The sequence below is a fragment of the Homo sapiens genome, chromosome 14 (genome assembly GCF_000001405.40).
Source record: "Homo sapiens chromosome 14, GRCh38.p14 Primary Assembly".
Taxonomy (NCBI): domain Eukaryota; kingdom Metazoa; phylum Chordata; class Mammalia; order Primates; family Hominidae; genus Homo; species Homo sapiens.
Genome location: NC_000014.9, coordinates 76,223,336 through 76,240,537, shown reverse-complemented (window position 1 = coordinate 76,240,537; position 17,202 = coordinate 76,223,336). Strand labels below are relative to the sequence as shown.

Genomic DNA, 17,202 nt, shown 5'->3' with positions numbered 1-17,202 from the left:
AACTGTATCGAATCCATAGATTGCTTTGGGCAGTGTAGTCATTTTCACAATATTGATTCTTCTCATCCATGAGCATGGGAAGTGTTTCCATTTGTTTATATCATCTATGATTTCAGTGTGTCATAGTTTTCCTTGTAGAGATCTTTCACTTCCTTGGTTAAGTATATTCCTAAGTCAGGGGCTGGGCACGGTGGCTCACGCCTATAATCCCAACACTTTGGGAGGCTGAGGCAGGCAGATCACTTGAGGTCAGGAGTTTGAGACCAGCCTGGGCAACATGGTGAAACCTGGTCTCTACTAAAAATACAAAAATTAGCCAGGTGTGGTGGCGCATGCCTGTAGTTCAGCTACTCAGGAGGCTGAGGCATGAAAATCACTTGAATCCAGGAGGTGGAGGTTGCAGTGAGCCGAGATTGTGCCACTGCACTCCAGCAGTGTCTCAACAGAGTCTCGTTCTCTCACTCAGGCTGGAGTGCAGTGGCACAATATATATTAAAAATTAAAAAAATATATATATATTCCTAAGTATTTTAATTTTTTGCAGCTGTCATAAAAGAGATTGAGTTCTTAATTTGATTCTCAGCTTGGTCATTGTTGGTGTATAGCAGTGCTACTGATTTGTGTACATTGATTTTGTATCCTGAGACTTCACTGAATTCATTTATCAGATCTAAGAGCTTTTTGGATGAGTCTTTAGGGTTTTCTAGGTATATGATCACATCATTGGCTGACAGCAACAATTTGACTTCCTGTTTTCCAATTTGGATGCCCTTTATTTCTTTCTCTTGTCTGATTGCTCTGGCTAGGACTTCCAGCACTATGTTGAATAGAAGTGGTGAAAGCGGGCATCCTTGTCTTGTTCCAGTTCTCAGAAGGAATGCTTTCAACTGTATATGTGAACATATTTTAAAACCACAACAAGTGGATACTGATGTTCTGCTGTCAGCTTACCTGGCACATGTAAAGCCACAGAAGACATACCAGCAAAGGTGGCAAAGCACTTCTGGGAATGCCTGGTATTATGCAGCTATGAAATCTTGTTCCCTGTCCTCCCTAAACCCTTTTGGGTTGGTGATGTAGCCACACTCTGGCCAAAATGGATGCTCACTAGCAAGAACTTTTAGTTTCAGGTGAAAGAGTTGGGAAAGGAGCTTTCACCCAGCAAATCAGATCTTCAGCCAGCCTGTACTGACATACCTGTATTTGTCACACAGGATAATGTTTATCTCTCTAATTTTCAGAACATTATCAGGCATCTGAGAAGTACCACCTGGTTGATTGTAACACATAGTACTTTGCCCAAATGAAAATCGTGGAAAAATTCAACACTGGTCAGTATAGAATGCGCATGCTCGTAAAGTCTAAATATTTGCTTCCTCATGACTCCCACGTGAGTTGCTTAGGTAGATTTCTGGCTTGGGTTCAGAATGAAACTAAAAGTACAAAGAGCATCTTTGTCTGGCTCAGGATGTTCTCATTTTTTAATGAGATGGGAGCTCCCAAATGGACCACAACTGGTTGTCCAACCTAGGATGGTTTAAGGGAAAGGAAAGGAAGTTTCTTTAGAACAGTGGTTCTCCATGATACCAAGACTGACAGCAACAGCGACACTGAGACCAACAGCAGCACACCACCTAGAACCCTGTTAGAAATGCAAATTCTCAGTCCCACCTGGACCTATGAAATCAGCAGCTCTAGGGTGAGGCCCAGCAATCTGTGTTTTAACAAACTTTTAAGGAGATTCTAAAACATGCTTGAGTTTGAGAAACACTGCTTTAAAAAAAAGTCCTACCCGCAGCTTATTGCATGTAATTTAATCATAACTCAGTAAAGTAGCTCGGCTGGATACTTTCACTTATTCTTGTTCATGCATAAACACACCAGCACAGAAATCGCACAGACAGATCCAGACACAGGACACACATAGCACAATGAATGGCATAGACAACTGTTCATAGAGTAAGTACCAGAGCCCAAACTCCCTGACCCCTGAAAGTGGAAAATGTGTAGTGTCCTTTCAAGAAGGGTAAGGATTGGGCACAATGGCTCATGCCTGTAATCCCAGCCCTTTGGGAGGCCAACGCAGGCAGATCCGTTGAGCCCATGAGTTCGAGACCAGCCTGGGCAACATGGTGAAACCCCAACTTTACAAAAAATACAAAAATTAGCCAGGCATGCACCTACAGTCCCAGCTACTTGGGAGGCTGAGAAGGGAGGATCACTTGAACCTGGGAGGTAGAGGTTGCAGTGAACACCACTGCATTCCAGCCTGGGTGACACAGCGAGTCCCTGTCTCAAACAAAAGAAAGAAGGGTGAGGAAGAGAATGGGAAAGGGGAGAGACAGAGCAGAGAAATAGGAGAGGGAGGAGGAAGAAAAAGGACAAAATACAGCGTGTTTTCAAACATGATTTCATAAGACACAAAGTCTTTCTAAAGACAATCAGAATTCAAATGCCAGTGATCTTCACAGGAATCTTAATAAGAAAGTTAAAAATTTTTAATAATTGTATGGCTCATAAAACTCATCATGATTGAGGGTGTTGCTCACATCCTTAAAAGAATAAGCATCCCACCAGAGATGCATCTGGCACTTCAGAACTTTCTCCCAAACAACTCGTTTGCTTTTATCTCATGGACACTGTGAAGGGAATTGTTGATTATGTTTCCTTCTTTCAAGAAAACGCAGAATCAAATTAGCAAGTGAATATCAATCAGCCTTTTGTATGAGAGCCTCACGTGGCTTTGCCTCACATTTCCTGCCTTTATTTCCCCTGCCTGGGTGTCCTCCTTTGCTGCACATTTGTGCTTTTGTCAGACATTTCAAATCCTTTTAGGAATGAGGCTGGCAATAAGGAAATACGGAGAAAGGCTCTTTCCCCAAGCAAACTGGAAACCTGGGAGGAAGGGCAGTCAAGGCATGACAGCCATGGGTCCAGTCGGGTGGAGAAGCCCAAGGGGGCTCACTGATGCTGTAGGCAGTGCCTGCGGGGCAGCTTCTTTGCCTCTGGTGGAGGGTGAGTGAACAAGCCTGAAGGCAGGAGCAGAAAGGGGAAGGACAACTATTAGTGACTGAAAAGCTCTTTGCTCAAGTTGTTTCCTGGGGTTAGGAAAAGGCAGTAGGGAGAAGGAATCTGTGTTTTCTTGTTTTTTTTTGTTGTTGCTGTTTTTGTTTTTGTTTTTTTTGTTTGTTTTTTCCGAGACGGAGTTTCGATCTGTTGCCCAGGCTGGAGTGCAGCGGTGCAATCTCAGCTCACTGCAATCTCCACCTCTCGGGTTCAAGAGATTCCCCTGCTTCAGCCTCCTGAGTAACTGGGATTACAGGTGCCCACTACCACACCCGGCTAATTTTTGTATTTTTAGTAAAGACAGGATTTCACCACATTGGCCAGGCTGGCCTCAAACTCCTGACCTCAGGTGATCCACCCACCTTGGCCTCCCAAAGTGCTAGGATTACAGACGTGAGCCACAGCGCCCAGTAGAATCTGTGTCTTATAAGATGGGCTGATCTCTGTCTTCCTTAGCATTCTCGCTTTGAGACTAATCAGTATCCACACAGGATTGGCCAGCCTGATGCAGGCACCACGGATCCAAGCATTCCTCCCTGTTGGTGTAATGCACCAGGCACAGATCCAGACCACCCTGGTTCCACTCTGCTCAGAGTTCCCAGAGAGATGGGCCAGTGGCATCAGCACAGATGATTAGAGCACCTGTTCAGGTCTGGTGCAAAACCTGAGAAAATACTTGTTTTGATATCCTATCTGGTTTGGAATGGGTAGAAGGGTATTTTCCTTGGATAGCTATGTTGGAGGGACTTATTCCAGCTCTAAGGTGGTCTGATTGGACGGAACCTGGGAATCAACCACAAGCAGGGGTGTTTGGAGCTGCCCTTTCCACCAGCCAGCAGTGCCTCCCAGAAAAACTTCCATAAGCCGCTCCATCAGGACTGCAGTGCCAACCTTGACCAGTCACTTCTGAGTCCAGTTACATCCATAATGACATTTCTCCACTGCCCCCTTCACCCCCAGAGCATGACAGATGAGGGGCTTCACGGAACGAGTCCCCGAGCTGTGATGGGAATCTGTCTCGCTCCACTACAGAAAAAAATATATATCCCTGAACAGCTGTGAGGAATTCTTTCATTAGTCATCTGCATCTTACCGCTAGTCTTCGCTTCCTCTTTTTACAATAAAAACTGAAAACAGATTAAATGTCATATTCTGACAATGATTGTTTTCAAACACCCAGGCTAGGAAAGGGGAGGTGACAGAGAGAACATTAGAGAGAGAACAGAGGGTTTGTGAAGCCATGGGCCATGGAGACAAAAAGGGAGAACTGTCCCTGCACGGTGGGAGGGCACCAGGGAGTGTCCCAGGGTGGACAGATCTGCACAGTGACCACACAGGCTCAGCTCAAGACTGAATGCTTATGTTCTAAAGCTTTTTGTTGGGAGCAATTTACAACCATTGAGAAATCAGACTGGAGAAGCTATGTGGAGAGGAGAAAGTAAATTACACCATAAACAGAAATACTCACAGGTCAAAGAAAGTGCAGATAGACACCGAAAGATCATATGCTCAGCGTTGTCCACATTGGAGAAGAAACTGCAGGGTCTTTTGAGAAGGTATACACCCTTTGGCAGGTCTCACATGAAGATGCTTGCCTCTCCAGAAAGTCACCCTAAGGCCAGTGTGGGCAGGCTGCAAGGAGATCATGGGGGAAGGTGAGAGGGGGTAAAGCAACTGTCAGAGAATGCCACAATCAGCCTGGCTGGAGGAAGGGCCTGACCAACTCAATTAGTGCTGATGTGGGTCACAAAACCACCTCAGAAACAATGGATAGTGAAGTTCAACCATCTGGTCAATGGCTGGAGGACTCATTCAGCTAAAAGCACAGTGTCTGATCAGGTCTTAACTAGCCTTCATATTTAGTCATTGTATTAGTCCATTTTTACACTGCTAATAAAAACATACCCAAGACTGGGTAATGTGTAAAGAAAAAGAGTTTTAATGGATTCATAGTTCCACATGGCTGGGGAAGCCTCACAATCATGGCAGAAGGCAAAGGAGAAGCAAAGGCGTGTCTTGCATGGCAGCAGGCAAGAGAGCTTGTCCAGGTGAACTCCCATTTATAAAACCATAAGATCTCATGAGACTTATTCGAGTTAAGCCTACCACAAGAACAGTATGGGGAAAACTGTCCCATGATTCAATTATCTCCACCTTGCCCCACCCTTAACATGTGGAAAGTATTACAATTCAAGGTGAGATTTGGGTGGGGACACAGCCAAACCATATCAGTCATTCAATTCAATATAGTTTGGTGAATGTCTACTGTATTCATTTTCTTTTTTTCTTTTTTTTTTTTTTTTGAGACAGAGTTTCGCTCTTGTTGCCCAGTCTGGAGTGCAACGGCGTGATCTCAGCTCACCGCAACCTCCGCCTCCTGGGTTCAAGCAATTCTCCTGCCTCAGCCTCCCAAGTAGCTGGGATTACAGGCATGCACCACCACACCCTGCTAATTTTGTATTTTTAGTAGAGACAGGGTTTCTCCATGTTGGCCAGGCTGGTCTCAAACTCCTGACCTCAGGTGATCTGCTGGCCTCGGCCTCCCAAAGTGCTGGGATTACAGGCGTGAGCCACCACTCCTGGCCTACTGTATTCATTTTCTATGCTGCTTAACTACCACAAACTTAGCAGTTCTAAATAACACACACTCTTTATCTACAGTTTCTGCAGGTCAGAAGTTTACACACAGGTTGGCTGGTTTCTCTGTTGAAGGGTTTCACCAGCTGCTATCCAGGTGACAGCTCGGGCTGCAGTCTCATCAGAGGCTCAACTGAGGAAAGATCTGCTCCAAGCTTCTTCAGGTTGTTGGCAGAATTTATTTCCTTGTGGCTGTCAGACTGAGGGTTTCAGTTTCTTGCTGGAGTCTACCCTCAGCTCTTAGAGACTGCTGACAGTTCCTTGCCACTTGGGCTTCTCCAATATGGCCATTTATTTCATGGAAGCTTGTTCCTTCAAAGCCAGTAACAGGGAGAGGGACAGAGAGAGAGTGATAACAAGACAGACTCTTCTATAACATAACCATGGGCATAACATCTCATCACCTTTGCCACATCCTATTGGCTAGAGGCAAGCCACAGCCAAGGGGATGGGATTACACAAAGCTGTAGACCCCAAGAGGTAGGAATCATGGGACACCTTAAAGTCTGTCTGCCACACCTGCTGTTTTAGGCAACAGAGATACAACAGTGAACAATAAGCCATGTCTTAGAGGAAAGCAGCTGGAGAGAAAGAGACAGAGAGAGAGGGAATCCATAGATTAAAGAATTAAAGGACATATATTACATTAAAAGACATATCTATGAATCTCCATGAATCTCAATATCTGGTCCTCATTTGGATCCTAATTTATTTTTTATTTTTTAGAGACAGGTTCTTGCTCTGTTGCCCAGGTTGGAGTGCAGTGGCACAATCAGAGCTCATTGCAGGCTCAAACTCCTGGGCTCAAGTGATCCTCCTGCCTCAGCCTCCTAGGTATCTAGGACTGCAGGTGTGTCCACTGCACATGGCTAATTTTTCCTTTTTCTTATTTTTGTAGAGAGAAGGTCTTGCTATGTTGCCTAGACTAGTCCCAAACTCCTGTCCTCAAGTGATCCTCCTGCCTTGGGCTCCCAAAGTGGTGGGATTACAGGGATGAGCCACAACACCTGGCCTGGACCCTAATTGTTTTTAATGTAAAAAAACCCTATTATTTATGAAACAATTGGAAATTTCAATACTAACTGGGTATATGATGACATTAAGGACTTATCGTTAATTTTTAAAGTATGATCATTGCGTTTGTGAATCTTTAATGAAGAGTCCTTATCTTTTAGAAATTCATACTGAAATATTAAAGATAAAATTATGTGTCCAGGAGATTTTCTTCAAAAACACTATGACAGTGGGAGAAGAAGGTGGGGCTGCGGATGAGGTAGAATTCCCAGGAGTTGATTGACGGTTGTGGGGCTGGGATGATGGGCGTGTGGGAATTCATCAAACCGTTCTATCAACTTTTATGGGTGTTCAAGATTCTCCACAAGAAAAACCTTTAAAGATGGGCAAGTATTTTCCCTCATTTGTAATCAGAAAGGCAAATGACAATCATTTGAAACCACCACTTTGTATCTATCAAATTGCCAGAATTTTTTAAAAATGACAATGCCCATTGCATGTGAGGCTGTGATAAAACAGATGCTCTGATACCTGCTGCGTGGGGGTGGAGAGGAATGGAAAACAAATTGGTCTCGTCTTGGGAAGCATTTTGGCAATATGTATCAACAATCTTTAAAATATTTATATCCTTCGCTCCAATAATTCCACTCCCAATAATTTACCCTAAGAATTGACCCTCAAAATGGAAAATGCTTCTGCACAAAGATATTTGTCATAGGGTGTGTAGTAAAGAATCCGCCTTACCCAAAAAGCAGTCTGGCCTTTGTACTCTGCTGCAGGAAGGTGAGCTTTTGGACCTTGGGATGTCCTGCCTGGTAAGAGTGCCTTTGTTTGCCTGGGGCCTTGGCCACTGGACAGTTTAACAGTGATTTATGATGGGGACATTGGGCCATGCAGTATCCATTTTACCTCTGGAGGGGCTGGAGACTAAAGAGCAGCTGCACGGGCAGTCAACTATGGAGCCCCAACAAAAACTCAGGATGCCAAGGCTCGAGTGAGCTTCCCTGGTTGCCAATATTCCATGTGCATTGTTACATATCAGTGCTGGGAAAAGGACACTTCCCAGGACTCCATGGGTAAAGGAAAACTGGAAACTCCATGCCTGCAACCTTCCTGGACTCTGCCAATTGCATCTCTTTCCTTGGCTGGTTTTAATTTGTGCCCTTTAGCTGTAATAACCCATAACCGTGAATCTAACAGCTATCAGTGAGTTCTGCGAGTCTTTCTAGTGAATTATCAAACCCCAGAATGGTTTTTGGAACGCCCCCGGACTTGCAATTGGTGTCACAAGTGAGGGTGGTCTTGTGCATTGTGCTCCCGCTAACCTCGAACAGAGTTATTTATAAAAGAAAAACGGGCCGGGGGCAGTGGCGGGCAACTGTAATCCAAACTACTCAGGAGGCTGAGGCAGGAGAATCGCTTGAACCCAGGAGGCAGAGGTTGCAGTGAGCCGAGATGGCGCCATTGCGCTCCAGCCTGGAAGACAGAGTGAGACTCTGTCTCAAGAAAAAAAAAGCCTGGGAACAACTGTAATGTTCAATAAGAGGAACACTGTGTGTTTGATACAGCCATTAAATATAGCACTTATAAAAATATATATTAACATGAAAGCCTGGTGCAGTGTCTCACACCTGTAATCTCAGCATTTTGGGAGGCCGAGGAAGGAGGATGGCTTGAGCCCAAGAGTTCAACACCAGCCTAGGCAATATGGTGAGACCCTGTTGCTACAAAAAATACAAAAATTAGCTGGGCGTGGTGGCGCACACCTATAGTCCCAGCTACTTGGAGGGCTGAAGCAGGAAGATTGCTTGAGCCTGCAGTGAGGCTGCAGTGAGGCTGCAGTGAGGCTGCAGTGAGATGTGTTTGCCCCACTGCACTCTATCCTGGTGACAAAGTGAGACCCTGTTTTATATATATATATTTATATGGGAGGATGGCTATGTAACACATCAAACACAAAATGTTGGAGGCATAGTATAATTACTATATACATGTAGAATTCAAAATACATGTAGAATAACATCCACAGAAATTATAACAAAATGCCAATGAGTAGCTGTTTGGGAGTGGTAATATTATATGATTTTATTTTTGCATTTTCTACTTCTGTATATTTTTCAAATGGTCTACAATACGCTAATATGTGTAGCTTAGTTTGATAACCAGAAGAGTGTGTGTGTGTGTGTGTGTGTGTGTGTATGTGTTTAGTTTCTAATTTTAGCCATACTAGGGGTGATTCCATAGCATAAAGGAAGATGGTTCATGACTAGAAACTCCTCAAAACCTCAAATCTGGCTCTGTCACTAAAAATGTCACCAAAAGGAAAGAAAGAGAGATGGAATGTAAGGAAATCTAGGCAGCTGCAGAAGGAACTCTGATGGGCACCACTAAAAAGGGGGAAGGACAAATATAAAGGATGGGAAGAAGAAACAAAGTGAGGACCTACAGAGAAGGTCACATGAAGCCCTGAGCAGGGCGACAGGCAGCACTAGGAAAGAGACGGTCGTGATGACGGATGATGTGAGTCTATAACAGGGGCTTCAGCCTGGCAAACCCTTTGAATCACTCCCCGGTCAGTACCAACAGTGAGGGCTTCGTTCCTTGAGGGAGGCAAGGAGGTCTTGAGTTGATACTATACACAAAACACTTTCCTAAATATTGCCTCTATTCTCACGGGCTTCTGTTATTGGCAGAATGGAATGTGAATGAATAAATAAGCGGACTTTTGGTTAAAGAGTGTCAGAAGGCTGAAGCCAGCAATGAGTTGAGACTTGCAAAAAGAGCCCAGGGCATCACAAATGGCTCCTGCTTTTTAAAGTTAAGTTTAGGGCAAGTATAAAAAAACATGGCACAGGCCACTATTTAGGATCAGTAATGATTATCAGAAAGAAGGCAGAAGCCCTCCACCCCTAATTTACTTGTCGCTTCTGTCAAATAAAGTCTTTTACCATGAAACGGGTAATACAAATGTTGGTAAGAGGGAATTAAAGCTCCAAGTGCAGAGATGATAAAAAGTGCACCTGTTCTCTAGCCACGCTAATGAATTAAAGTTGATTACTTCGAAGAATTGCTTTCCAGATGTTGATAACCCTTGCAAATGGCACTGGTAAACTGGCAATGATCTTGGAAGCAACCAAGAGAACAGAAGATTTTAGAAGATGAGGATTGGTGCTCTTATAACAAACTACATCCTAGACATAATGCATTGCATTTTATTAAGTATTTTTACACAAATTCTTGTTTGTTCTTCCCAACAAACAAGTACGGTTGGGCCAACTGAGAGGATCAATGTGACCACAAGTAAGGCCCCACCCAGAGGCTTGCAGGTATGATCAGTGGGATGGATAAAATTATTCCATCTATTCTACAGTTGAGGAAGCTGAGGCCCAAGTTAGACTCACCAAAGGTCCCACCGAGAATTCATTCTGCAAATACAGGAGCTACTCATCACCCCCAAGCAAGAGTCTCAGATCCTAAATAACTTCTGAGCACCTAGAAAACAAAGTGGTGATCACGGTGATGCTGCATGGGTTCATTTACAACACACACATGCTACATCCAATTGACATCACTTCTGTCTTTGCCATATTAGACTCTTGGATGTGGTCCATCTGTGTTTCAGCAAAGGGCTTCTTACTCCCCTTCTGTGTCAGGCCCAAGGCTAGGCTGTCCCTTAATGGATGGTGGAAGAATGAGGTGCCCACCAGGAAACCCAGAGAGCTGTGTCAGCGAGGCTAACGTGAGTCAAGGCAGACCAGCCTCAGAGCCTGGTTACTATTGAAACCTGCACTTTGTTTTATATTGAGAATGATATTGCTATAGGCAATAGACTATAACTCTCATACATTGAAGGGAAACTGGACTTACCTGGGAAAAGGCTGGAGAACTCACGAAACTGACGGGAAGGTGGAGGAGCCAGGCAAGGGTGGCCAGAGCTGTCTTGTCAGGGCACTCTCGCTGGAATACAGGCCTCCGAGTGTTGTCTCAGGGCAGGGGGGCTGTCCTTCTACCACCTAATCAAGATTGAAAGTTCAGGACAGTGAGTCCCACTGCATAGCTTTAGAAATTATGCCTACCCATCGAGCTTGGAGAAAGGAGGGAGAGAGATGTCATTAAACCTCATGACATGAGAGTGGAGGAGGGCAGATTCTCCAAAGAAAATCAGGGTTATTGCTGGAAATAAGGCAAGTGAGCCACCTTATTGACACTTACGCAGGGCCCATAGCGTAGAGGGCAGCTTCTCGGGAGAACGAGCCTCTGCTTCCAGGGCCCATATTAACATGTGGAGGGACTAATGCGAGAAAAACACCAGAAAATAGATTTTGGTAAAGTACAAGAAAACACTTTCTAAGAGTTGAGCTTTCTGACAAACATGAGCAATTATAGGAGCCAGCAGTGATGTTCAGACAATCATTGGGTTTACCTGCAAAGTTATAGTGAACTCACATATCAGATGAGGAATGGGACTGGGCCACAGAGTTTAGTCCCTGTCAATTCTGAATTTCTTATTCTATCATGAAACAGTGAATGCATGGCCTGGTTTGACAGCAAGAGCAGCATGTAGCATATGAGGGAATATCAATCCTTTACAAAACTCAGAAATTAAAGTTCACTCACGCCACTCCTAAGCTGCCATATTTCATAGTCAGCCTAGCTCCTGACACAGGGGTTCAAAGAAATTGAAGTCTTGTTTTTCTTGATGCCCATGGAGAGCTTGCAGTCACCTGGCTGTGGGCTGCAGCCCTGTGGATGGAAAGCATGTCTGAGTCAGTGCCTCTGTCAGGAGACAGATGGAAGCGGCCACATGACCCCTGGTCCCACATCCATTCCACCAAATGGAGAGACATGACAAGCCTCTTATTTTCAGGACACAGCATCATTGATTATTCCCTGTTAATGCTTCCCTGTCGATGGTGGGCAGGGACTAGAGGGAAATGGAAGGATGTGATATCCAGGCCCCCCAAAGGGAAAATCAATGTGATATGGTTTGATATTTCATCCTAGGATAACCTCTTTCTCTGAGCTCCAACCCACAGGCCACTGTTTCTCTCTCCACCAACTCCACCAGACACTGTCACATCCTTTCACAGTCACCAAAGGACACAGAGGGAGGAGACAGATGAGGAGTGGGCACCAAAAATGATGAAACTCTGCTTTTGTTTTCTTTTAGGAATTTATAGCAACGAAACAGTCTACGGGCTGTGCTGAGACTTCCTAAGCAGTTTCAGATCAGAAGGGAAGAGCCTACTAAGTCAGCTGAAGAAACCCTTGTCTGACTTATTACAGATGCAACCCACAGAACGCTAATCTCAAAGGATGACCTTGGAAAACCGACAACCTAGAAACTGCCTGCCCCCTGGCACAATGCGGAAAGTTACAAGTTCAGAGCAAGAGGTAAAGACTTGTAATGCAGGGAGGTGAGAGGGAGAAAGCAACCTCTTTCTTTGTGTACACACACACGCGCGCGCACGCACACACACACACATCAAACACCAAGTATTTATGTTCCCCCTTCCCCCAAAGGAATCCAACATTCAAAACAAAACTCTTATGAATCTTGTATGTAACAGAAAGGGGAATTTTTGTTCCTTCTGGGGTTTCAGGGTAAAGAGGAAACAATACCACTTTATTATCTTTTAAATGGCGATGCGAAACAATAATATCCAGATACCTAAAGCTATGCGCACCCTTTGGTTCCAGACAAGCCGTCTTGTTAGCATTTAACCTCATCAGTGCTGTAGCCACACAGATCCGGAAACTGTGTTAGTTTATTTCGCAGTGTTGCTTCTGGAAAGCTCCAGGTTGTCCACTGCTATTTCCCTTTCACATAGGAGTTGCGCTGGGAGAAGTGAGTAGATGGTTTTCCCTGCTTTCCTTGCTCCCTGAGGACAGGAATCAGGGACTGAGCCCTCTGCCTGGGAGAGGCTGGACCAGGTGACCTGCAACGGGCTTTTCCAACTCTGATTCTACGTAGGATTCCTGTGGTGCAGACTCACGGGGCTGAGCCAAGGAGTCTGTTTTCTGCCTGTTGGGGGAATTGGGCAACTCATGTTTTACATACCTATGCAGTGTGGATATCAATCCTATGGAGTTCTTGTAAGTAGTACTTTATCCAATGCATTCATAAATGTATAGGATTATATCTGTGTTACTCACAGGAGCTACTGTTTAATATCTTAAACGAAAAGCATATGTCTTCACAGGAGCATGATTCATTTCGTGTTACGCAATTCACAAATGACCTGCAAGGATGCTGCCACTGAAGCTGTGGGTTGCAAACATCCTACACAGTGTTGCTGCACACCCCTGGATTCGTCTCTCCACAAGGAATCAACTTCATACTTTGGGTTCTACCCCATCGGCTGGTCACAATCATTCCTGCCTGAGTCCCTCCCCCCTGGACTCTGGTACTCCACTGGTCTCATTTCCCTGCAGCCTGGGGTCTTTCCTCCACTCCACACTGGCCAGTCAGGGGCTCAGGCCTTTTGAGGTTAGGAGAAGAGGGAGAAACACCACACCAGTGATATCGTGTAGGAGGGTGAGTATCCTAATCAGAACAGATGCCGGCCAGAAGACTCAGGGTCAGAATCCCAGTGTATCTGATGCTGTGGAAGTTTCTTTTCAAACAACGTGGAGAATATACATGGCCTGACAGCCTATTTGAAAAGAAAATGCCATGGGCCCTCAAGGATCCCCAAATTGCAGGAGGGCTGGAGCTCTCAGACAGTCCAGGAGGGAGGCACCCTGTGCAATACTTCCTGCTGAGGCCCTGGGCTTAAAGCAGAGCTGGGATTGCACATGCCCTCCGCTCAGCTCTCAGACATCCCCTTACACTCAGAAACACCTCTCCATGCTCACACACTTTTTTGGGCTTTCATTTGCCTTGTTTTATTGAATACAATACACTTCCAGAAAAATGCACAATCATAAGTGTACAGCTCCGTGTACACTCTCTTTTACAAACAGAACTCTCTTAGTTTATTTTGTGCTGCTATAACAGAACACCTGAGACTGGGTCGTTTACAAAGAAGAGAGATTTACTTTTCACAGTTCTGGAGGCTGGGAAGTCCAAGATCAAGGCATCAGAATCTGATGAGAACCTTCTTGCTGCATCCTCACACAGCGGATGGTGGAAGGGGGTGAACCCACGCCCACGAGCCCTTTTTATAGCGTCATTAATTCATTCATAAGCCTTCATGACCTAAACACCTCCAGTTAGGTCCCACCTCCCAACACGGTGGCATTGGGGATGAAGTTTCCAACACACACATTTTGGAGGGACACATTCAGGATATAGCAAGAACACATCCTCTAAACAAAGACATAGAACATGACCACAGTTTCCACAGGCCCTTTTTCTCCCTCCAGTTACTACTCACATCTACAGCAAGCACAATCCTGATTTGTAACAGCAAAGTTCAGTTTTGCTTCTTCTTAACCCTATATAAATGGAATCATACAATGTATTCTCATCTTTGACTTCTTTTGCTCAGCGCTGTAATTCTGAGATTCATACGTGTTGCTGCATACAGTTTGTTAATCCTCATTTCTGTACAGTGTTCTATTCTATGAATATAACACAACTTATGAATTCATTACCCTGTTGATGGGTGTTGGTATCATTTCCAGTTTTCACTGTTATATGTAGTACTGTTATGTACATATGTTTTGATGCATATATGTATGTGTATGTATGTTTCTATGGGGTTTGTACTTTAGAGTGGAATTTCTGGTAGATTGGGTTTGTGTATGTTCAGCTTTAATAAACATTGTCAAATAACTTTCTAAAGTGGTTGTACGAATTTACTCCCTGACAGTAGTTTATGAGAGTGTTCGTTGCTCCGTATCCTTACTTAGTAGTTGGTGTTATCTTTCTAATTTTAGACCTTCTGTTGAGTATGTAGTAATATCGCATTGGGTTTTAATTTGCATTTCATGGATGACTAATGATGTTTAAGCACTTTTTGATGTATCTATTGGCCATTCAGATATTCTCTTTTGTGATGTTTTCTTCAAGTCATTTGCCCATAATTTCATTGGATCATCTGTTTGTTTTCATTGATTTGTAATACTTTTAAAAATAGATTCTGAATGCAAGTCCTTTGTCAAATATTTGTGTTGCAGGTATAATCTCCTATTTTGTGGCTTGCTTTTTTACTAATGGGGTCTTTTGATAAATAGAACATTTCAACTTTAATATAATCCAATAATTATAGTAATCATTTTCTTTCTCTTTCTAGGTAGTGCTTTTGATATTTTATTTTTTAAATCTTTACCTACTTCAAGTAAATGAAGACACTTTCCTTTTTTTAACCATAATATTTACTTTTTTACACTTTCATCTTTATTATGCAATCTATATGGACTTGGTTTTTTTCAAGTTGTGGAAATAGGGATCAAGATGTATATTACCTGTGAATATCCAACTGAGTCAGCACCATATATTGAACGGGTCATCCCTTCCTTGCTGCACTACATCATTACCTTTGTCCTCAGTTAAGTGACTATGTGTGTGGATCAGCTTCTAGACTCTGTTCTGTTTCACTGTTTTATTTGTTTATTCTTGCACCAATACCACATGGTATTAATTACTGTAACTTTATAAGAAGTCTTGATAGCTAGCAGTGTGTCTTCCAGCTGTGTTCTTTAAACACTCTCTTCTCTATTCTTGGTCTCTAATGTTTCCATGTTTCAGAATCAGCTTAATTTCCCCCAAGAAATCTGCTGTGATTTTGACTGGAATTGCATTAACTCTGTAGACCAGTTGGAAAATAACTGACATCTTTACAATATTGAGGCTTTCAATTCATGAATACAGCAGATCTCTCCATTTATTTAGACCTTCTTTATTTTTCCTCTGTAATGCTTTCCATGTAAAGATTTTTTCTCATCTTTCATTAGATTTATTCTCAGTTTATGTCTTCGATGCTATTGTAAATATTTTTAAATTTCATTTTTGAACTGAATATTGCAGATATATAAAAATATCATTGATTTTTGTAGAGTAAACGTGAATCCAGTAGCCTTGCCAAATTTACTTATTTCTAATAAATTTAATTGACCATAGATTCTTTTGGATGTTCTACATAAACAATCATATGCTTTGCAGTCTGTAACTTCTTTTCCTTGCCTTATTGCAATGGTTAAGATCTCTAGTACAATGTTTAATAGAAATAGTATTAGGAAATATTCCTAATCTCAAGGTGAAAGCTTTTAATATTTCACTATTAACTATGATATTTCCTGTAAGATTTTTACTGATCTTTACCAATTTAAAGATGTTTCCTTCTATTCCTAGTGTGTTAAGTGTTCACTATGAATAAGTATTTGATTTTATCAAATGCTTTTTCTGCATCATTCTATTGAGATATTTTTTCTGCCTTACGATGCTAATGTAGTGAAATACACTAATATTTAAATGGAAACATAATTCGTATATCTTGAAAGTCATCATTTTAAAGAGTACAATTCAGTGGTTTTTAGTATATTCACAAAGTTGTGCAATGATTACCATATAACTCCGGAACATTTTCATCACTGCAGAAAGAAACCTCATACCTACTAGCAGTCCTTCCCCATTCCCCTTTTCCCATTGGCAGCTACTAATCTACTGCCTGTCTGCAATATCTGTCTCTATGGATTTGCCTATTCTGAACATTTCATGTAAGTGGAATATGGCCTTTTCTGTCTGGTGTTTTTCAATTAGCATAATATTCTCAAAGTTAATCCATGTTGCCACATGAATCAGTACTTCAGTCTTTTCATGGCAGAATGATGTTTTATTGTACAGATATACCACATTTTGTTTACCATTCATCAGTTGATAGGTACTTGGGTGGTTTTCACTTTTAGTTTATTGTAAATAAGGCTAAAATGAACATTTGTGTACAAGCTTTTGGGGGTACATAAGTTTTTAACTGTCTAGGAATGGGTGTAAAGTGGCATCTTGTAGTTTCAGTGTTTCTTCAGTGACTAATGATGTTGAGCATCTTTTCGTGTGCTTGTTGGCCATGCCTACATCTTCTCTGGAGAAATGCTTACTCGAGTCTTTTTGCCCATTTTTAAATTGGATTGTTTACCTTTTGGTTGTTGAGTCATAAGAGTTCTTTATATATTCTGGATATCAGACCCTTATCCAATATATGATTTGCAAATATTTTCTCCCATTCTGTGGTCGTCGTTTCATCTTCTTGACAGTGTCTTTTTGAAGCAAAAAATTTTAAATTTTGATAAAGGCTTATTTATCTATTTTTTCTTCAGTTGCTTGTGCATGTGGTGTCATATCTAATAAACCATTACCTCATCCAAGGTCATGAAGATTTATGCATTTGTTTTCTTCTAAATGTTTTCTAGTTTTAGCCCTTATGTGTAGGTCTTTGATATGTTTTTAGTTAATTTTGCATATTGTATAAAGAGGGATCCAACTTCATTATTTCGCATGTGGATATCCAGTTGTCCCAGATAGTTTGTTGAAAATAAATCCAG

At 42.6% G+C, this 17,202-nt stretch overlaps 1 protein-coding gene and 1 long non-coding RNA gene across 5 annotated transcripts in view; one reads left to right on the top strand and one right to left on the bottom strand.

Moving 5' to 3' along the window:
- LOC105370575 (uncharacterized) overlaps positions 1–13,225 on the top strand; it is an 83,107-nt gene extending 69,882 nt beyond the window's left edge. The window contains exons 1-3 of one of the 2 annotated variants that reach the window (XR_007064271.1): positions 7,814–7,923; positions 11,888–12,111; positions 12,921–13,225. This is a non-coding gene — a long non-coding RNA (uncharacterized LOC105370575). Of the gene's footprint in view, positions 1–7,813; positions 7,924–11,887; positions 12,112–12,920 lie in introns of those variants that run through there. The other variant, XR_001750833.3, reaches the window with a different exon arrangement.
- The window catches only part of GPATCH2L (G-patch domain containing 2 like), an 83,634-nt gene continuing 71,414 nt past the window's right edge, over positions 4,983–17,202 (bottom strand). For 2 of the 3 annotated variants that reach the window (XR_007064029.1, XR_007064030.1), the window contains 2 exons: positions 10,585–10,730; positions 4,983–10,209 (listed from right to left, as the gene is read on the bottom strand). Coding sequence is in view for 1 of the 3 variants with exons in the window: in XM_047431559.1 (XP_047287515.1) it covers positions 10,702–10,730 (29 nt within the window). In the remaining 2 variants the exon portion in view is untranslated. Of the gene's footprint in view, positions 10,731–17,202 lie in introns of all 3 variants that reach the window. The other variant, XM_047431559.1, reaches the window with a different exon arrangement.